This window comes from Homo sapiens, chromosome 7 (assembly GCF_000001405.40).
Source record: "Homo sapiens chromosome 7, GRCh38.p14 Primary Assembly".
In the NCBI taxonomy this organism is placed as follows: Eukaryota; Metazoa; Chordata; class Mammalia; order Primates; family Hominidae; genus Homo; species Homo sapiens.
The window spans coordinates 117,409,419-117,433,000 of NC_000007.14; the positions used below are offsets into that span (position 1 = coordinate 117,409,419).

Consider the following 23,582-nt stretch of genomic DNA (forward strand, 5'->3'; position numbering starts at 1 on the left):
TGTCACTGAAAATATAAATAAGGTGTCAGAAAAGTCCCTTGCTTTATTTTAAATAAAATATTTTAGCCAGCCAAAAAGGGATAAAGAAAAATGAATTCTACTATATGTTCAGGAAGAACACATTCAAATAGGGAATGTTAATTACAAGATACTCCAAGATTTAATGACACTGTTATCTGTTTAATAAAAATGAATAACATACAAATTAAGGGGGACCTTGTCAGTTATTTGAAAAACTACCAGGATGCATAAAATTTAGCAAAATTTGAAAACAAATATGTATACGAGCTAAAACACTCATATGAAAACATATTTTTATTATGTGAAAGAAGAAACTTCACTACCTCCTCTCCATAAAAGATTAAAAAGAAGAGTTAAACAAATCCAAGTGATGCTTCCAAGAAAGAAAAATATTGTTCTCTCTCACCTAGAAAATGCATGTTTAACTAGATTAGAATTAAGGAATGGATGAGGACCATATTTCTGACTTTGCTTGTTAATCATCCTACTGCTTGTTTTAGGAACATGCAAAATTTTCATTAATTCTTTTGGGATTACACATTTATTATAAATACTTCTATAATTTTGTGTAACATATCTCTTATGTGTAAACTTTTTATGTAGATAATTTATTTTTACTATTTCCTTGAAAACATACTATCCCTAATTATTAATAGGTACTCCTGGTATCTGCTTAGTAGTACAGTCATAACTAAAGTGTGATTCTTTAATGGCATCAGCCATTTTTTTAGAAACTTGTTATATTTATATGCAACACTTTTTACAAAACAATTTTACATGATATTGCATCTGACTGTCACAAGAATTCAGCAAAATCAGTGAAACAAATTTTCTTATCTTATACCATAAATGAAAAATAAAAGTTCAGTTTCAGAAGTTAGCAAGGTCATGAAGCTTATAGTAACAGGACTTGGGACATAAATTCTGAGTCCAAGATCATTCACAAATAAGTAATCTTCAATTTTTCTTAATAGCGTAACTCAAAATACATTTTTGCTTAATTTTAACAATGAAAATTATGACTATTTTGCCATTATAATACAATTTTACAATAAAATGGCAGATGAAACAATGTAAAAAATTACAAAGAAAGTATAGCAGGGTTTTATTCAAGCATAGCAGAGTTTTTTTGGAGGGATTCTTGTTGAGAATTTCTGGTTATCATTATACTGTTGAAAACCAATACACTAAAGTTAGACAATTTATAAACAATAAATTATAAACTCATACACTAGTTCACTGATATCAGCTATTAGTACTTCAGGACAGGGTATGGAAAGCCTTTTTCCTAAAAGATGTAAGAGGAAAAAAAAAATCACATTTTTAAATGAAAGCAATTAAGCTGTCATTTCAAATTTAGAATTTAAAGCATAGCCAAAGATAAAAAAGCTAAATTCTCAAACAAACTAATTTTATAAGGAGGTAGTGGTATAATTTTATTACATCTACTTTATTTTTGTAGTGTATAATTTATTATACACTACTAATCAGTGTGTGTTAACATTATTATAATCAATAAGACTTATCAAAGGGTAGTCTATTTGATGGAGAATTGAGTTCAATGTAGAAATAGTAATTTCCTACCATGTACCAGACACTAATAAGATAAAAGTCAAGTCAGAATTTGAAAGGTGTTTGTGTGTGATCTTGGTTTTTGTGCATGTGTTTTGAAAAATTAGTGCCAAGAGCTTTTCATCAACTGGCTTTCTTCACCTCTATCCTATTTTATGCTTTCAAAAGGTCCAGGTAGATTTCCAGGTATCTGAGTAGCAGTATTAACATATGTCTTAAATATGCAAGATAACCCTAAGATATCTATCATTGTTTGCATACAGGTAAAACTGCTAACAAAGGTAAAATCAGCTCCTATATGTAGGTAAGAGATAAATTTTAAAATGATAATGGGGCAATTTATTACAAATATATAAAAGGCTAAAAACATAAGGAATGATGTTCAAACTAATTAAAAATCAGAAAAATAACAAAACTATAACATGCTCACTTTTATCCATGATATTGTTCAAACCACAAAGCCTAACAATATGTTAGCAAGAATGCCAAAAACAAAATGGATACTTTCACATGGTCTACAAATGTAAAGTGGAAAAAACTTTTTGGAGGACAGTTTGGATATAACTTGCAAGATTTTAAATGTGCAAACCTTTTGAGCAATTCTACTTCTGGAAGTCTTCTACAGAATTAACGCGTACCAAGGATATTATCATCGTTATGGCAAACAAACATCTGATGCTTACTCTGTGGCTAGGCACTGTTCTAAACACAAAGCAACTTTATGATGTGAGTGGTATTTTTATCCCCTACTATAAGAATGAAACTGAAAAGATGAATAACTTGCCCAATTACAGAGCTAGTAAATGACAAAGTTGGGATTCAAACCTTGGCAGTCTGGTTCATAAGACAGTACTCTTAACCACCATATAAAATAAGAATAAAATTTATAAACAACTTAAATGCTGTCAACATGATAATGGTTCAATAAATTACAGTACATTAATAATAAGGAATATTAAGCAGCTAAAAAAATGGGAGGTAAACTTATTATGTACTGACAAGGAAAGATCCCAAACAAGTGAAAAGAAGTGTGTGTGTGTGTGTGTGTGTGTGTGTGTGTGTGTGTGTGACTGTGTGTCTGTGCATTTGTATGAAAATGTGTATTTTTAAAAAGGATTAGGGACATTTACCAAACTACTTAAAATAGCTATCCTGGGGCAGAGAATTTAAGGAATTTCTTTAATCAACAAAGACTCATGATTTACTACTTGGACTTCCATATTATTTTAATATCTTATGACAAAATGTCTTGATTATTTACAGGGTTAAAAAGGCTAAAAAGAAAAACTACAACATAAATGACAATTTCTAGTAATGTTTTCTAAGTAAGATATTTCTAAAAATTCTTTATGAAATAATATTTTTGTAATTCCAGTCTATGCTTTCAGAGCAAAGATATGTCACACATTTACTTACAGCTAGAAAACAAGTTACTATTGTAAGCCAAAATTACATTTTTATCTACTAAACTGCTCCTGTGACATTTACAACTAAATTTATGTTCTGAGAAAGTAGGCAACATTTTTTCCAAAGGTATCTTCTGTTTATTAAAACATGCAATAACATTCAACAAGTTAACAATTACACAATGACTACGTCAAAACCTAGGGCATTAATTAATGTGTTCTGCCTTATCAATGGTAATAAAAGCATCTATTTAAATTAAAATGCCACATCACTTTACAAAACCCTTATCTTATGACTGAGCAATCCTAATGTAACAAATACATATGGTAGAAAAATTACCTTCTAAATGTAAAAAAAAAATCTTTTTTTTTAAATATAAGAAAGAGTTTCAGCAAACTAGGGGGAAACGCACAATTTCTAAAAACAAAAATGTCAATTGCATGTATTTTTTAAAGGCTCATTCTAACAATAAAAATGCCAACTCCAAACTTAAGGTTAAATTGAAGATTTACTATGTCAAGTTTCAATTCATTTGACTGAAGGCCACCTTGTTTTTCAGACCTACAGGTGATTAAGCTAAATTAAAGTGGTAACATTGTTCTGTTCCCATACTTTCATAGTTTGTAGAATTTTTAAGTGAAAATATTCAACTATAATTTAGGGAACAAGACAGAAAAAAAAACCCAAATCCAAAGATACAGGAAGTTTAATACAAACATATGTTTTGCAACAATATAAAAAGTCACGCTGTTTAAACTGTTGTGAAAACATCCTAAATATAGACAAGATGAAGAATATAAATACATTCTACTGGTGGATCCTGTTCAGATTAAACTGTTGTAAATACCCTTATCAAACCTCTGTTACATTGAAAGGCACTTAAATACTTGAGCACCAATTTTCTGTTCTGTGAAAAATAACATACCATTTATCAGTGAGTTGTAAAGATTATTTAGACAATGTATTACACAGACAAGCAATTAACACAGTGCCTATTACACAGCAAATGTTCAATAAATGTTTCATTTACAAATTCTAAAGCCCGGAAACAAATTCTAAAGCCAAAATAAACCAGTATTAAATTTCCATATTTGCCAGATACCGTACACTGTGTTAAATATTGTCAGTATCAAGATCCAAGAGATGCATAAGATGTAATTTGTGTCCTAGAGGCTTAATTTTAAAAACGGCTTTCAAGTTGTAAGTTTTTACCATAAGTCCCACAGATGGAAAATGAAAAAATAAAAGAAAATAAAGAAAAATAATAAAAGAACAAAGTGGTTCTACATATCATATGGAAAGCTGTCCATGAATTAAATCAATGCTATTTCCAAAGCTATTTTAAATAAGATTTTAAAAAAGAAGTTTGCATGGGAAGGAAAGAATTACAGAGCTGACACAAAAATAGTTATAAATAAACTTTAAAAATCTAGAAGATGCTGATTTCTATTTCTAGTAATTGCAAGTTAGATAATTTGGACCAAAATTGTGAGGGAATCTAGAAGTTTTTAAAAATTTCTTAAAAACTGAGGAACTAAATCCATTATTTTAACAACAGATTAGAAGGTGAAGTGAGATTTAGTGACCTAGAGGGAGGATCAGAAGCTATAATCCAGAATATGGCACAATGAGACTGAAAAATGGAAAATGAAAGATATTGAGGATACAGTGAGAAGATCTAATGGATATACAATCAGAGGCTCAGAAGGAGGATGTAATATTTGAAGAAACGATAGATGAGAGATTTTCTAGAACTGCAAAATTTAGAAGATGCTTGTCATGGTATCATGATGGAGATACCTTAATAATATCACATTAAAGGGATGTTTTTTCCTTTTCAAGAAGCCACTTTCAAGATGAAAGAGAAGAAATGTTGGAAGAAGCTACAAAATTTTTGCAAAAAACATTGACACCCAGGAATCCAAATAGTATTAGCAAATTTAAATGTTTACTTAAAACAAAATTTGGGTGCAATATAAACTTTAAAGCAGATGAGAATTACTCCTTTAATGTATCTATTTAGTTAATAAGTTTGGAAATGTTCACCATCAAATGATAAAAATTTAATTATTTATTTTTATTATAATTTAAGTTCTGGGGTACATTTGTAGAGCATGCAGGTTTGTTCCATTGGTATACACGTGCCATGGTGGTTTGTGCACCCATAAACCCGTCACCTACATTAAGTATTTCTCCTAATGCTATCCCTCTCCCAGCCTATCATCTCCTGATAGGCCCTGGTATGTGATGTTCCCCTCCCTGTGTCCATGTGTTCTCACTGTTCAACTCCCACTCATGAGTGAGAACATGCAGTGTTTGGTTTTCTGTTCTTGTGTTAGTTTGCTGAGAATGATGGTTTCCAGTTTCATCCATGTCCCTGCAAGGACATGAACTCATCCTTTTTTATGGCTGCATAGTATTCCATGGTGTATATGTGCCACATTTTCTTTATCTAGTCTGTCATTGATGGGCATTTGGGTTGGTTCCAAGTCTTTGCTATTGTGAACAGTGCCGCAATAAACATATGTGTGCACATGTCTTTATAGCAGAATAATTTATAATCCTTTGAGTATATACCTAGTAATGGGATTGCTGGGTCAAATGGTATTTCTAGTTCTAGAGTTCTAGATCCTTGAGGAATCGCCACACTGTCCTCCACAATGATTGAACTAATTTACACTCCCACCAACAGTATAAAAGCATTCCTATTTCTCCACATCCTCTCCAGCATCTGTTGCTTCCTGACTTTTTAATGATCGCCATTCTATCTGGCATGAGATGGTATCTCTTTATCTGTGGTTTTGCTGTCTGCAGTAACCTGAGGACCAAAAATATTAAATAAAAAATTCATAACTTTTGAATTGCACACTGTCCTGAATAGTGTGATGAGATTTTGTACTGTCTCACTTGAGATATGAATCATCTTTTGTCCGGCATATCCACGCTATATATACTACACACCCAATTATCACTGACGGATCTGTCTCAATTATCAGATTGACAGATCTTTTCAGATCATTTCAGGTCACCAAGAAAGATGAGTACAGTACAATAAGATATTTTGAGAGAAACCATATTCACATAATTTTTATTACAGTATATTGTTATAATTGTTCTATTTTATTATTAGTTAATGTTAGTCTCTTACTATGCCTAACTTATAAATTATCACATATATGTAGGCATAGGAAAAAATACAGTATTTATAGGGTTTGGTAGTATCAATGTTTTCAGGCGTCTACTAGGGGGTCTTGGAATGTATCCCTGGCACATAAAGGGGAACTCTGAAAGAAAACTGAAAAAAATGAAATTAAAGAATGAAAACTGAAAAAAATGAAATATAAAACAACAACAAAAAAAGGTATTCAGTGATATTAACGTTTAGTACACATACACAAATGGCTTGCTGAAGCAAAACAAATGGAAACAACCACAGCATACACCAAACATGATTCTCAATAAACAATTCAGTAGGTAAAATAAAGGAGTGGGCCAGGCGCAGTGACTCATGCCTGTAATCCCAACACTTTGGGAGGCCAAGGCAGGTGGATCACTTAAGGTTAGAAGTTCGAGACCAGCCTGGCCAACATGGTGAAACCCCATCTCTACTAAAAATACCAAAATTAGCTAGGAGTGGTGGCATACCTGTAGGCCTAGCTACTTGGGAGGCTGAGGCAAGAATCACCTGAACCCGGCAGCTGGAGATTGCAGGGAGCGGAGATCTGACACTGCACTCCAGCCTGAGTGACAGAGCGAGACTCCATCTCAAAATAAATAAATAAATAAATAATAAAATAAAAAAGGAGTGGATAGTCAGTGCTTGCTACTTGAAGCACTGATGCAAGGTGCTTGTCTGTTTAGGGACTTAGAAAGACGTACTATATTGTCAGCACTCATGCTGCCTTAGCATAGAGCCTAAATACTTTAAAATTCTGCCTAATGAAATCTTGTTAACAACTTTATGGCTTTTTTGTCCTTTCTTTTAATTTCTAAGCAATTGATTTTCTGCCTTACCGGAACACTTGTTTTTCTCAGGCCATAAAGAAAATAGCAAACTACTAATACACAGAGCATGGATGAGTCTTAAAATTTATTATATTCAGTTAAAGAAATCACAAAAATACTCTATAATTCTAGAACAGAAAAAATTTATAGTGGTAGAAACAAGATCCGGATCACATGGTTGCTTCTGGTGGAGAGGGAACTGGACTGGCAAGAGACACAATGGAACTTTCTGGAGTGATAGAAATATCTCATCTTGTGGTGTAAGTTACACAAATGTATGCATTTATCAAAACTGATCCAACTGTACACTGAAAATCTGAGTATTTTAATTATGTGTATGTAAATTATATACAAGTTAAAAAATTTAAACTATTACAGAATTCCCTCAGTACCATTCAGCGAGATTTCTAATTAGTTAAGTAGAGGAAATTCAACAGTTTCTTCTTAATCTTTATTCTTCCATCTACTCACTTGTAGTGTAGTGCAAACAGAACCAAGTAATTCAAGTGACTTACTTTCATTTTAAGATCTACAAACCCCTAGAAATTATCTTCCTGCTCCTAGTACGAATCAGTAACTCATTTTTCCCCATTTTATCTAAAAACTAAGATCCTGTCTTATGAGGTATTTCCACAGAATGGAGAAGAGTTCATGCTACTTTACACATGGAAACTGAGACTTCAATCTCAAGCTTAGAGGCTGATTTCCAAGACTTTGTTATTAATTTCACTTCATGAGACAAGACTACTGATCCCGTATTAGTTAAAAAAAAAAAGTTAGAAGCCAACTTTCTTTGCATCTATCAAGTACGTGACCATCTATCTAGCTTTCGCAAAATCTAGCCATTTATGTTTTATGGCTGACTCTTTCCTTGTGCTCTTTTTCTTGAGAGGTAATTTTTCTCAGCAATGGCATTGCTCAACAAAAAAGGCTACATCAACAGCCTGAAAGTAAATTCATCTGAAGATCTGTTTTTCTCCTTGACATCTGAAGAGTGGTTCCCAGATGTATTGCTGGTATCTTTTGGCACTTTTTACAGGAATCTAAAGCTCCCAATCTTCTAATAGGTTTTGATTTTTGTCACTGCTAATGAGTTAGCTATAAAATTCTCTTCAAATTTCATTGTACTCCCCATATGTCCTGATATGTTTTGTCTTTCACATTGACAGCACGCTATCCCACCATGTCCCCTAATGCTATCCTTCTTATAAAATTTGCAGCCTAAAAGCACTTTTTGCCATAACTTATCCTCTTTTCAGCTCTATCAAGAAAACACAATTCAATTTTATTGCTTTATGCTTTGAGCATTAAAAAAGAAGCAGCTGAATAGTTTTTCAGGTTATTTCTCACATCTATTAATTAAATGCATATTGCTTTATTTTCTTCAACCACTCTATAAATTCTCTAATTATTTTAGAGAGTTGATCATATACCAAGCTAAATCTTGTGCTCTTTCAAATTCATCTGCTCATTTAGGATTTTCAGTTTTGAAACTGCCTTATAGTGTCATTGCCTTATAGTTTCTAGCATAAGATGCTAACCTTGTGTCATTTTAATTCAAATTGAATCTGTTTTTCCCAATACATCTTATGTACCTAAAGGATATCTTCTAGTTCTTGAGGAGAAAGAATAGTCTAGAACCTATGACACTGGCTTGACTGACTTCTGTGTGTTTACAACATTTTAGGTGATTAGGAGGGTAAAGACTTCACTACCTACAAAATCTCATAGAGGCAGTCGGAAAAAAAGAAAGTGAAGAGCACCAAGCAAAAGTTTTATCTCATGCCACTTCTAAAGGTATACATCAAAATTACAACTCATGGAAGTTTACTTCAGCAAGGAGTACTAAAGCACATGTCCTAATTCCAAGGTATAACCAGATCCAAAAGTTACATTTTACTAAGGATTATACCATATATGACAGGATAAAAGTTTCGTTAAAAGTTTGAGGCCGGGTGCGGTGGCTCATGCCTGTAATCCTAGCACTTTGGGAGGCCAAAGTGGGCGGATCATGAGGTCAGGAGTTTGAGACCAGTCTGGCCAACATGGTGAAACCCCATCTCTACTAAAAATACAAAAATCAGTCAGTCGTGGTGGCGTGCGTCTCTAATCCTAGCTACTCAGGAGGCTAAGGCAAGAGAATCATTTGAACCCAGGAGGCAGAGGTTGCAGTGAGCCAAGATCGTGCCACTGCACTCCAGCCTGGGCGACAGAGCAAGACTCCATCTCAAAAAAAAAAAAAAATGTTTGCAGGTAGGCCAGTTATGGTGGCTTACACTTTTAATCCCAGCACTTTGGGAGGTGGAGGCAGGCAGATTGCTTGAGCCCTGGAGTTCAAGACCAGCCTGGGCAACATAGTGAAACCCCGTCTCTACAAAAATACAAAAATTAGCCAACTGTGGTAGTGTGTGCCTGTAGTCCCAGCTACTCTGGAGGCTGAGGTGGGAGGATCACCTGAGACTGGGAGGCAGAAGTTACAGCGAGCCACGATGGTGCCACTGCACTCCAGCATGGGTGACAGAGCAAGACCCTGTCTTAAAAAAAAATACAGGTTTGCAGGTAGTTTCTCTGCCAGTTCTTTTTTATCTTTGTTTAAATATTAATTATCCACTCAATACATCTTGGCCCTTCTCACACTAGATCAGGGTTTCTCAACCATGGCACTACTGACATTTGGGGATTTGTAATTCTTTGTTTTGAGGGATTGTTCTATGCATTTTGGGATGTTCAGCAGCATCCCTGGCTTCTATCCACTAGGTACCAGTAGTATTTCTCAGGTATAACAATCAAAAATGTCTCTAGACATTGCCAAATATCCCCTGAAAGGCCAAATAGACCTTGCTTGAGAACCACTACAACTAGACTAAAATATTATTTTTTTAAATCTCAACAAAGATTTGGGAACTATCTAAAGCTGTAAAGTAGCTTCCAAGGTTGCTGTCCAGGTATCATAGAAACTGAACCAATTTAGAAAAAAACTTCCAGAGTGTAGCATAATTATTTCTGTATATCAGGTACTAGATCATCATTATCTGAACTAATGAATTATGAATAATAATTCTATTTGTGCTAGACATTTTTGTTAGATGGGCTACTTCCTACTCATTTTAAAGATTAAATGAAACACAAAGAGAGATTTAATAGGAAGATGAAATAGAAGATAGAGTCAGAAAGGAAGCCAATGTGATAGAAATTTTAAGCAATCTGATTCATTTTTATTACTGACATTTCAAAAGATGCAAGATACATTTACTGCTTGTCTTCTATGCATCTAGGCACTATTACATACATGTTATTACCTAGTTAATTCGTGAAGTCTTAAGAAAATGGAAACAATTAGGAAAATAGAAAATGGATATATTTTCTTAGTATTTTTGTAAAATTGTTTAGTTGTTAAATGTTATACAGAGAGAACATTAAAAGGCTTTACTCTTACAGGTCAATCGTCATATTCTTTAGAGTAGTATGATTCACAAGAAAAGATACTATAGTTTATTGTCCTCCTTTCCCTCTCATTCTAAATTCTTATGACGTTTCTCTCAAAATGTAGAGTTGAAAGACTACTTTCATGATATCCCCTTCCTCTGATAATCTTATAGAATTGGAACAATGACCTTATGAACTATTTTCATTCATCAACTATTTGGCCAAGTAAACATTGTTCATGATTTTTAAAAGGCTGATACCAAAGAAAAATTCTAATTTGACTTGAATTTTGAACAGATATAAAGGCTCTTACCTACAAGCAACATTTGGATCAGCATTTCTTGAAAGTAGTAGTTCTACACACTTCAAGATCTGTTCCTCTGAGCCATGAGCAGAACATGCAGTTATCAAAATACTTTGCTTATCTATAGTGAATAGAAAAGTGAGGAAAAATCCCCATACATCAAGAGCATCTATTCGATGTCTTTACCACTCAAAACATTCTATTATTGCACTCTAAAACTCTATAACCTCTTCCCAAATCTCTCACTCTTAGCAGGTAACTTTGTCTTCCTTCATCGAAAGATGAGATTAGACATGAATCCCTTCAGTCTCCAAAGTTTATCTATAATTCATTTAACTTCCTTCCCCTCTTACTCCCATTACTTCAAGAGAACAGAAAGTGGTTAAGGACATGGACACAGCCACATTGTCTGGATTTGAACAGTTTTTGGTTGATTAAAATTTGCCTTGCTAAACTCATGTTTGGGAAACAATGATCTATATTCTCTGATTTCACTTCTTATCCATTTGAAAACTCCTGAAATCTGGCTTATAAACTACCCTACTGAAATTGCTATGACTGCCACATCCATTGGTTTGGTTTCTTTTCAGTCCTTTTGTACTTCATCTTTCTGAACTCACTGTTTCCTAAAACTCTTCTTCCCTTGGCTCTCATGGTGCCAGCAAAGATCAGAGTAAATTAAACACAAAAAACACCTATTTTGAATTAAGACTTCAAAATAGGTCACAACAGCTATGATTCACATTAGTGGCTCAATACTGACAGAGCATATTCTAGTCCCAGTCCTGCCACTAAGAAACTGTAACTCTTGTGATATCTTAATAGCTCATTAGATTTAACATACAGATAAGAACCTAGTATCTGCCCTTTGTATGTAACAGGGTTATTGTGGGACACATAAAAAACTCATGTGTACATTCTGTGAAAAATATATTTTATAGCTCTAACTATCCCTCTGATTACAAGGAGGGGGAAGTATAAAAAGAATAATTATTAATTAATTTTTTGAGCAGAATATTTTATACACTTTTGAAAACCTCATTCCTAAGCATAGCTTTCATTGAGTAATTTTTTTTTGAGACAGTGTCTCACTCTGTTGTCCAGGCTGGAGTGCAGTAGCATGATCATAACTCACTGCAACCTCGAACTCCTGGGTTCAAGCAGTCCTCCTGCCTCAGCCTTCTGAGTAGTTGAGACTATAAGTGTGTGCCACCACCCCTGGCTAATATTTTTTTATTGTTAGTAGAGACAAAGTCTCACTATGTTGTCCAGGCTGATCTTGAACTCCTGGGCTCAAGTGATCCTCCTGCCTTAGACTCCCAAAGTGCTATTGCTAGGATTATAAGCATGAGCCACCATGCCTGGCCAAGTGATATTTTTAAATGATATAATAAAAAGAAAAACCTAATAGAAAATATTAAACATGAAACTGTTGCTAAGACAGAAATTTATGTAAAATATATAAATGAGAAAAAAGAATAAAATTGTAGGTATAAAATGTAAAAATCAATTCTAAAATGAAACCTATACCTGAAATTATGAAGAAAATTTAATTGTCTATTGAAAATATGTTAAAAATAAGTAATCAGGAATTCAATGTAATAATTAAACTGGATTTGCTCATATACTCTTGTTCTTCTTACACTCAAAGCACTTCTGAATGGAAATTATTTAGTAACAAGGACAAAGATGGATTTCATGAACTATCTTTGAAACAACTTTAAGTGATGTAATTTGGAGTTTAGTTTAAAATTCCACAGACTGATTTTCCAGTAATTTGCCACTAAATTATAAACTTTTTAATGTTTCTTTCAAGAATTTTTCCTTTAAAAACAACCAAAACCTTAAAGATATATAATAACAACCAGTTATAAAGATACTATAACTGGAATTTATGTTTTTGGAAAGAGAGTTTTTCAGAATATGTATGGTTTCTAATTTGATTTTGTATATTATTTACATAGTATAATGAATAGAAAGGTTACTTCAAATGGCTTTAGTTTTTTGCACTTTATATAATAGCTACTTGGAAACCAAGGAATCACAGTAAGCATAATCATTTAAGTTATCTAAAACATCTTACCCTTCTCAAAGCTTGCATTAGCACCTCTGTCCAAAAGGACCCGAACCAGCTCTGCATTGGCAACACTAGCAGCATACATAAGGGGAGTCCATCCATACTGAAAGTTGGAATCTACACTAATGCCTGTCAATATAAAAACAAGCTTTTAAAAGCACACTACCACCAAAGAAAAAAATCAGTCACCTTATATGCTTAAAGTACTGTGTAAAGTGACGTACATCATGTACTTTATTCCACCATGGGAAGTTTTTAATGGCTTCCAAAAAATACAAAATAGTTATATTGGGACATTAACACAATTTGCTAACTTCAGTTTCACTACAGGCACTATGTTCCGAGACTGATATGACTGATGTTTTATCATATATGTAACTGAGTATGTATATTATAACAGGTTTTTACATGCTACCTTTTTTTTCTCTAGGGGAGCTGGAAAGGTTTCACAGAGGTAAAATGTCTTTTAAATTAGAATATTATCCCTGGGCAATATCAGTTATCTCTATGGTTGAAAATACCACATATATCCCTCAAAAACCTTTAACTTTATTCCTAACACTAAACTTACCCATGGGTGACTGATAAAACATGAAGCTAAAAAGACAGGTTAAGGTTAGATTATGAAAACTCCCTTAAGAAACGCAGACTCTGTTTTGTGATCCAGGAACTGACATCATTACATATGTATTATAAAGACAACATAGACACCACTATTGAGAATGGGACAGGAGGCAAGGAAACTAGTTATAACACAGGAAGTTTATACGACAATCAGAGCAAGGGCAGTGGAGAGAGAAAGGAAGGAAAACAAAAGGACATTTCAAAGGCAGGGTCATCAGAATTTAAAATTACTTTGAGGAGGAGGTATGATGGACAACAACAAATTAAAAATGACTATCAAATTCTGTCTTGGACAATCGAATGACAAGCAGTGAGCTAAAATAAAGGGAGATATCAGGTATTGAAAGTAAGTTTTTTTTGTTTGTTTGTATTTTGTTGTTTTTTTTTAGGATCTCACTCTGTCACTTTTTTGGCTGTATAAACACCGGGTCACTGAAAGACTACATATGTCTAATTTCTAACTGTCTAATTTTAATTGATATAAGGTACATAATAATCACTGGGAGAAAACATTAAACCATCTTAGTATAGACATCTACTGCTAGCCCTACTTGTCTTCTCTAACAAATCTTCCTCTTTGAACTGCTTTGATTGAAAGCTTATCAATGAGATCAGAGAAAAGATCATTGTTTTCTCAATTTATTGAGAATACTGCTCAAACTGTGATAGCAAAGATAGAAAGGAAAAGATGCAAAGAAAAAGAAGCAAAGGCCAGGCACGGTGGCTCATGCCTGTAATCCCAGCACTTTGGGATGCCGAAGTGGGTGGATCACGAGGTCAGGTGATTGAGACCATCTTGGCTAGCACAGTGAAACCCTGTTTCTACTAAAAATACAAAAAAAAAAAAAAAAAAAAAAATTAGCCAGGCGTGGTGGTGGGTGCCTGTAGTCTCAGCTACTTGGGAGGCCAAGGCAGGAGAATTGCGTGAACACACGAGGCAGAGCTTGCAGTGAGCCAAGATCATGCCACTGCACTCCAGCCTGGGCGACAGAGTGAGACTCCATCTCAAAAAAAAAAAAAAGCAAATGTGGCATTTTAGTATAAAAATTCTTACTAAAATTCTAACTTAATATTTAACCTCTAATATTTAACATAAATTACTAAGCACATATTATGTTCCAGGCATAGTGCAAAAAAAGGTAAGTTTCAAAAGGATGAACACAGTATATTTATAGAGCTCAAAAACATTCAAAATAATACTATATTGTTTAGGGACATAGTAAAAGTATAAAGATACTCATAAGAATGATAAACATCAACTATAGAAAAGTAGTTATCTCCAGAGGGGGTACCGTACTTTTCTGAATGTCTAAAATATGTCATACTTTAAAGAAAATTGAAAATGATAGTACACAGAATAACAAAAACTGGAGACATCTTCAAATGGTTAAAAGTGGCTGACTCAAAATGTGCTTTTATTTTTAGAGTTTCCAATTGGTGCAGAAGCATGTTTCAAGAACAATAATGACTTTGAAAGGCAAAAAATTAACAATATTTTTAAAAAGAGTTACATAATGACATCTGGAAGGAAATACCCTAAAACAGGAGTTAACCTGTGAAAGTGAGGCATCAGCAGTAAGGGGAATGACAGTGAGGACAATGGTAAAGAAATCTTTCTCCTTCTACCTATATCTCTATTACTGCCTTTTAAAAATGAACTTTAAAAATTTTTGTAACTAAAAACAAATTTCAAATGGTTGACTAAATACTTAGCAGTAGGCTCTGTTCAAGAGACTGAAAAGCTCACATCTGCCCATCAATCATATCAAGTCTTAATCCTTCAAAAGCCTCTATCACATTCACTGTACCTAGTCCCACTACTCCTAAGGCAAATTTTCTTTTCTAAAACAAATCTCTGCCTATTCCACCCCATGCTATGTACACTATACATATATTAATATTAGGTATTCGGGCCTCTTTCTACTTATTCAGAGTTTATTCAATTTCGTTTTTCAATTCCAAACTCAAGTTCCATTGTCCAAAAAGTCATACAGATCCTTCTCATTTCTTATAAGAATAACAGGTAATGTTTACATAATTCCTATGTGTTCTAAGTCCTTTAAAAGCGTATTTTAATTCTCCCCCTTGCCAACAACCCTTTGATATAATAATCCTCATTTTAAAACGGGCAGAAATTGAAGCTTAGGAAGATTTGGTAACTTAGTCAAGGTTACAAAGCCATCAAGTGGCATGGTTAGTAATCAAACCCAGATCTGTCTTGTTTTCAAAATTATTTACTTTTCAGTAAACTATGCATTGATTCTAGCATAGAAGAAAAACATTATGCTATATATAATCACATCTAACTACCTTGTGTGTGAATGTTTTGTATCTACAATGGCAAAAACCACAATTATTTTTGCATCAAACTGAAGTAAATGCTTGTTATTCCTTTGAGTAATTTCTTTTTTTTTTTTTTTTTTTTTTTTGAGACGGAGTCTCGCTTTGTCGCCCAGGCTGGAGTGCAGTGGCGCGATCTCGGCTCACTGCAAGCTCCGCCTCCCGGGTTCACGCCATTCTCCTGCCTCAGCCTCCCGCGTAGCTGGGACTACAGGCGCCCGCCACCACGCCCAGCTAATTTTTTTTGTGTTTTTTAGTAGAGACGGGGTTTCACTGTGTTAGCCAGGATGGTCTCGATCTCCTGACCTCGTGATCCGCCCGCCTTGGACTCCCAAAGTGCTGGGATTACAGGCGTGAGCCACCGCGCCCGGCCAGTAATTTCAATCATTATAATCAATAATTTACATTTCTATGTGAAGGTAATTTAAAGTTTTTTTTTTATTTAATACACAAAAAATTCATGAAGCCCAGGACAGAATTATGATGCTTTACATAAAGAAACTGATGCTCTCTGGCTGGGGGCGGTGGCTCTTGCTTGTAATCTCAGCACTTTGGGAGGCCGAGGTGGGTGATTACTTGAGGTCAGTAGTTCAAGACCAGCCTGGCCGACATGGTGAAACCCCCGTGTCTACTAAAATTACCAAAATTAGCTGGGCTTGGTGACCGGTGCTTTTAGTCCCGGCTACTCCGGAGGCTGAGGTGGGAGAATCACTTGAATCCCGGCCCCCAGATGGAGGTTGCAGTGAGCGAAGATGGTGCCACTGCACTCCAGCAGGGCTAGAGAGAGACACTCCATCCCCTTCCTTCAACCCCCCAAAAATGAAATCTGATGCTCTCAAAGTTTTAATGCCTCTTCCAAGAAACCAGAGTGGGCAATAAACTGGAAGAAATTATCCATATATTTATTCTGATTCCTAGCTCAGGCCTCATTCCACCAGTACAAAACAAAAAACTGTAACGAGAAAGAACTAAAATGTAGAACCATTTCTTAAGAAACATACAACAGGCAGGGCACGGTGGCTCATGCCTGTAATCCCAGCACTTTGGGAGGCCGAGACAGGCGGATCACAAGGTCAGAGGATCGAGACTATCCTGGCTAACACGGTGAAACCCTCTCTCTATTAAAAATACAAAAAAAAAAAAAAATTAGCCGGGCGTGGTGTCACGCGCTTGTAGTCCCAGCTACTCAGGAGGGTGAGGCAGGAGAATCGCTTGAACCCGAAGGTGGAGATTGCAGTGAGCCAAGATCGCGCCACTGCACTCCAGCCTGGGCCACAGAGCAAGATAACATCTCAAAAAAAAAAAAAAAAAAAAAAGAAAAAGAAAAGAAAAAAGAAACAACATTACAGCAGAGTAAATGAAGAGAGAATTAAGAATGATCAGAGTGGGATAGGATTAGAGTAGGCCTCTTGCTTGAAGGAGGGGGAAGAACTGATGGAAGATAAACAGGGTGGCATTCCAAATGCAAGCAGAGAGGAAGAAAATAAGGCAGACTGGACTCAGTCAACGAAGATTATGCAGGATGATACATTAACATTTGTTGCGTTTCCATTAGAAAAGCAACATAAACCTTTTAAAAATAAAGAATCCTTGCGAACTTAAGACAGCTGTGTTCAGATGAAACTGTCCCTTATCTCTCACCAGAATCTAGGAGCTCCTGGACCAATGAAACATCTCCGATGGTCATTGCTTTCTTAAATTTTTCTTTCTTTTCTTCAATGGGTAATAGCCTTTTCAATTTCTAGAAAAGTAAACATTTTAAAAAATTCTTGTTATATATATTTTTGTTTCCACCTCATCAGGAAACAATAATGTTTGGTTAAGTACACAGGTTTTTTTTCTTGGCTTTATTTTGACTAAGATACAAAGTTTGAAAAGAATTCGTGTCGAAAATTATCTTTCAAGGGAATAGGTAATGATGGATCCAAACCCAACTGAGGAGTTACGATGACCTAAAGAAGCGTATTTGGTGGTAACCACAGTTGGGGAGGGAACACGAGGAAATTTGTGCGGGTTTGCTTAAGTACAAACTCCCGTATTTCCACTGGGTAAAAGGGAAATACACGTGAGGGAGTAGGAGGTTTCACGAGGCTGGGCCTCGCCTTCGAGGGCCAGGGGAGGCTGAAACCAGGTGTGGTCAAGACAAGGCCTCCTCCGCTACCTGAGACGTCCGGTCGAGATACCCAATCTCCCAGCCATCATCCTCGCTCTCGCTACTCTCGCCTCCGCCAGCCACTGGCAGGCCTCGCAGCGCGCTCGCCGCCATGCCAGCCAAGGAAGCTCCCTGTCGGCACCGCGCGCCCTTCAGCTCTCCGGGCGCATGCGCACCGGGGTGGGGCGTACGTAGAGATGCGCGGGAAGGAGCGCCGTGGAAGCGCTCCAGTCTGGAGCCCTCCAGCGCAGGCGCACAGCGGCGCGCTGCTCTCCTCCCTGCCCCGTCCCTCCCTAACCTTGAGGCTTCTTGAGGTGAAAACCTGGCGTGTCTGACACTGGTGACGAAGTTCGTGCGCCAGGCTTCTGCTGGCACTTCCAGTTCCTCTCAGGGACTTACCTTTCGACCTCTTTAAAGTATTTGCTTGATGAAATGATGAAATTCTTGCTCTGCAAGGAATGCCTTACTTGTGGCAGGAGCACACTAGGATTTAACGGCAAGTAAGACTAGACTTTCCCCGCCATCCTTTTCATCTGCCCCCTGCCAAACGTCTGTTAAATCTGTATCCCCTGGGAGACGGACTCTTCGTAGTAACACCTCTCTCAGGAGCACCACTCAGACATTCAAGAAGCCCTTACGCAAGTAGGAGCCGACGAAGGAGCCAGGAGAAAATACTGCCCCAAAGAATTCTTCCTTTACATTTCATGTGATCTTAGATCTCACCTTAGATTTAGAAGCTTCAGACCATCAAAACACTTCCCCGCTATGAAGTGTAGATGTCCTAGAGGAAAATATGAAAGGAGGGGGTTTCCGGGTACAGTGGATCCAAAGAGCCAGAAAGAAAGAAATGACTTAAACGTCCAGAGAGCAAATAATACAAACAACTCCAGGTGGAAGTGGCCCAAGCTCGAACTCACCTTTCTACATGGTTCTAGATGGTAGAACTTCTAGATGTTGGTAACACAGTGATTTTCTTTGCCACCACAGAAAAGTAGATCCACCAAGAAACAGGGCATATTATATGTATCTCAAGATAATAGCCATGCACTATTATTTGAAAGCTTTTGCGGTTTTTTTCTTGCAGATTCTCTGATAAAAGATTTTGAAATTATTTACTTTAGAGGCTCAGAGGTAAGTATTTTTAAGTAGTTTAGCTATTTGCGTGCCACATCTGTCTTTCTAAATGCATTCATTCAATAAATGCTAGGGATTACTTAGCACAGCCAAGTGCTACTAGGTTTGGGGAGACAACGTCAAAGATAAACCATGGAGCCTTATGGAGCTCACTTTAATAAGTAGAGATAGACAATATGCAAGGAAACAAAAACACTATTGCAGATTGTAAGTGCTTCAAAAGAAACAAGTGTGCTCTGTTTCTGGAATCAAACCACTTTTGTGTTTCCTGGGGGAATCACTAGCTGTAGCTGTGTGCCCTTAGGCAATTTACTTAGCATCTATCTGGGTACCAGCTAACTTATCTGTAGAATGGAGGTGATGATAGTACCCACCAAATAGAATTGTTATGAGGACTAAATGAAGTAATAGGCTTAGAATAAGGTCTTTCTCAATGTAAGAGGTAGATTTTAGATAGGATAGTCAGAACTGTGCAGAGTCGTAAATAACAAGCCATATAAGAGTGGGAGAATAGAGCTTTCCTGGCAGTGGACAGGAATAGTGCCAAGGTCCTAAGGCAAGAAAAAAGCAACTCAGGACCAGGATGGGGCAAGTGAGGCTGGGGCAAGTGAGTCCCCTAAGAAGCAAAGTTTAAGGAAGTACTGTCAGGGTCCTGCAAATTCAGTGAGTGCCTTTTTAAATTTTGCTCCTGGGTCACCTCACTTACCTTAGTTCTTGTCCTGCTTGGACCAGAAAGAAGGCCTGAGGCTACAGCTTCGTAAGGATAGGCGTGTGTGATGAGAGGTCCTTGTGGGCCTTAAGTAGGAATCTGGATTTTACTGAAAGCAATTGAACAGTGAAATGTTTTTAAGCTAATGAAAGACATGTTCTGATGTGTGTATGTATTTAAAGACACTCTAGGTCTATTGTAGAGAAGGTTTTTGGTTTGAGCAACTGGCTAAGTAGTCATTGCATTTACTGAGATGGGGGAAGACCAGTGGATAAACGTGAAGATTTAATAGGCATCCCCAAATTAACATATTCAAAACCAAGCAGCCAAGTGTAGCTGTTAAGTGGTTAGTTGGATATTCATGTGTGGACCTTGAGGAAGCCTGGTCTTGGAAATATAAATGTGGGAGTTATCCACATACAATTGGTTTTTAAAAACCTTAGGATTTACCAAGTGATTTTTTTTATAAATATGGATAAGATTATTCCAAATTGTATGTGGAAAGGCAAAGGAAGTAAAATAGTTAAAACAATTCTGAAAAAGAAGAATAAAGAAGGAAGAATTGCTCTCCTTGATTTCAAGACTCATGTGTAGCCTTGATTTCAGGATTTTTTGATATAGACCAATAGAACAGAATAGAAAACCTAGACATAGCACCACACAAGTACATATAGTATGACAAACTAATTTTTGATAAAGGTGCAAGAGCAATTCAATGGAGGAAGGATAGTCTTTTCAACAAATAGTTGTGAAGCAGGTGAATATCTTTAGGTAAAAAATGAACTTCAACCTAAGTCTCATGCCTTTTACAAAATTAATTCCAAATACATAATAAATGTACTTGTACATGAATGTCCATAGTAGCATTATTCATATTAGCCAAAAGTAGAAACAACCCAAATATCCATCAACTGATGATTGGATAAACAAGATTGGTAAGTCTGTACTATCTGAATTAGTTTCCTAGGACTACCAAAACAAATTACCACAAACTGGGAGGCTTATAACAACAAATTTTTTCTCTCACAGTTCTGGAGGCTAGAAGTCTAACATCGAGTTAGACCATGCTTCCTCTGAAGGCTCTAGGGGAAGATCTTTCCTTGCCTCTTCCCAGCTTCTGGTAGTTGCTGGTGGTAGAATGTACCAGTCATATTGGATTTAGGGTCCGTGGTAATCCAGTATGACTTCTTCTTAATGTGATTACATATGCCATGACCTTATTTCTAAATAAGGTCACATTTACAGGTTCAGGTGGACATGAAATTTTGGGGGACACCATTCAACTCAGTACACTGTATATGTATCACTTAGCATGATGTTTTCAACACCCAATTGTAGCATGTATTTGTACTTCATTCCTTTTTGTGCTAAGTAATGTGTGATATTGATATCAGAGGGTGATTTCAGGAGGTAGCATGACCCATTAGGAGGTTACTGTAATTGTGAACTAGAGCAGTGGCAGGGAAAATGGACAGGAGGAGATATTTTCAAAATTTATTGTGAATTATAATCAATAAATTTCCCTCTTAACACTGCTTTAGGTGCATCCCAGAGATTCTGGTACATTGTCTCTTTGTTCTCATTAGTTTCAAAGAACTTCTTGATTTCTGTCTTAATTTCATTTTTTATCCAAAGTCATTCAGGAGCAGGTTGTTCAATTTCTATGTAGTTGTGTTGTGTTGAGTGAATCTTTTAATCTTGAGTTCTAATTTGATTGTGCTGTGGTCTGAGAGACTGTTATGATTTCAGTTCTTTCACATTTTCTGAGGAGTGTTTTACTTCTGATTATGTGATCAATTTTAGAGTAAGTGCCATGTGGTGATGAGAAGAATGTATCTTCTGTTGTATTTGGGTGGAGAGTTCTGTAGATATTTATCAGATTCACTTGATCCAGAGCTGAGTTCAGGCCCTGAATATCTTTGTTAATTTTCTTTCTTGATGATTTAATATTGTCAGTGGGGTGTTAAAATCTCCCATTATTATTGTGTGTGAGTTTAAGTCTTTTTGAAGGCCTCTAAGAATTTACTTTATGAATCTGATTGTTCCTGTATTGGGTACATATGTATTTAGGATAGTTAACCTTCTTGTTGAATTGAACACTAAGATTATGTGATGCCCTTTTTTTGTTTTTTTTTTTTTGATCTTTGTTGGTTTAAAGTCTATTTTGTCAGAAACCAGAATTGCAAACCCTGCTTTTCTCTGTTTTCCATTTGCTTGGTAAATTTTCCTCCATCACTTTATTTTGAGCCTGTGTGTGTCTTTGCATGTGAGATGCCTCTCTTGAAGACAGTATACTGATGGGTCTTGGTTCTTTATCCAACTGGCCATTCTGTGTCTTTTAATTGGGGTATTTAGCCCATTTACATTTAAAGTTAGTATTGTTATGTGTAGATTTGATCGTGTCATCATGATCCCAGCTGGTTATTTTGCAGACTTGTTTTTGTGGTTGCTTCATAGTATCACTGGTCTGTGCACTTCAGTGTGTTTTTGTAGTGATTGGTAATGGTTTTGCCTTTCCTTATTTAGTGCTTTCTTCAGGAGCTCTTGCGAGGCAAGTGTGGTGGTAACAAATATCCTCAGCAATTGCTTGTCTGAAAAGGATCTTATTGCTTCTTCACTTATGAAGCTTAGTTTGGCCAGTTACGAAATTCTGGCTTGGAAATTCTTTTCTGTAAGAATGTTGAATATTGGCCCCCAATCTCTTCTGGCTTGCAGGGTTTTTTTCTGAGAGATCTGCTAATAGTCTGATGGGCTTCCCTTTGTTGGTGACCTGGCCTTTCTCTCTGGCTGCCCTTAATATTTTTTTCTTTCATTTTGACCTTGGAGAATCTGATGATTATGTGTCTTGGGGATGATCTGCTCGTGGAGTATCTTACTGGGGTTCTCTGCATTTACTGAATTTGAATGTTGGCCTGTCTTGCTAGGTTGGGGAGGTTCTCCCGCATGACATTCTGAAGTATGATTTCCAACTTGGTTCCATTCTCACCATGTCTTTGAGGTACCCCAATCAGTCATAGATTCTGTCGCTTTACATAATCCCATATTTCGCAGAGGTTTTGTTCATTCCTTTTCATTCTTTTTTCTCTATTCCTGTCTGCCTGTCTTATCTCAGAATGATAGTCTTCAAGCTCTGAGATTCTTTCCTCCACTCGGTCTAGTCTGCTGTTAATACTTATGATTCCATTGTGAAGTTCTTGTAGTATGTTTTTCAGCTCTAAGAGATTGATTATGTTCCTGTGTAAACTGGCTATTTTGGCTGTCAGCTCCTGTTTTGTTTTATCACGATTCATAGCTTCTTTGCATTAGGTTAAACATGTTCCTTTAGCTCAGCAAAGTTCATTATTACCTACCTTCTGAAGTTTACTTCTGCCATTTCAGCCATCTCAGCCTCAGCCTAGTTCTGAGCCCTTGCTGGAGAGCACACCCACAACCATCTAATCTTTGACAATCCTGAGAAAAACAAGCAATGGGGAAAGGATTCCCTATTTAGTAAATGGTGCTGGGAGAACTGGCTAGCCATATACAGAAAATCGAAACTGGACCCTTTGCTTACACCACATACAAAAATCAACTGAAGATGGATTAATGACTTAAATGTAAAACCTAAAATTATAAAAACCCTAGAAGAAAATCTAGGCAATACCATTCAGGACATAGGCATGGGCAAATATTTCATGATGAAGACACCAAAAGCAATTGCAACAATCAAAAACTTACAAATGGGATCTGATTAAACTAAAGAGCTTCTGCACAGCAAGAGAAACTGTCTTCAGAGTGAACAGACAGCCTACAAAACGGGAGACAATTTTTG

The 23,582-nt window shown here is 36.1% G+C and overlaps 1 protein-coding gene across 3 annotated transcripts in view; it reads right to left on the reverse strand.

Annotated features, from left to right (window-relative positions):
• The window catches only part of ASZ1 (ankyrin repeat, SAM and basic leucine zipper domain containing 1), a 64,272-nt gene extending 46,197 nt beyond the window's left edge, over positions 1–18,075 (reverse strand). For all 3 annotated transcript variants that reach the window (NM_001301822.2, NM_001301821.2, NM_130768.3), the window contains exons 1-4: positions 17,938–18,075; positions 17,418–17,517; positions 12,819–12,941; positions 10,745–10,856 (exon numbers count right to left, since the gene is read on the reverse strand). Coding sequence is in view for 2 of the 3 variants with exons in the window: in NM_001301821.2 (NP_001288750.1) it covers positions 10,745–10,856; positions 12,819–12,941; positions 17,418–17,517; positions 17,938–18,042 (440 nt within the window). In the remaining variant the exon portion in view is untranslated. The remainder of the gene's footprint in view (positions 1–10,744; positions 10,857–12,818; positions 12,942–17,417; positions 17,518–17,937) is intronic.
• Positions 18,076–23,582: the final 5,507 nt, after the last annotated feature.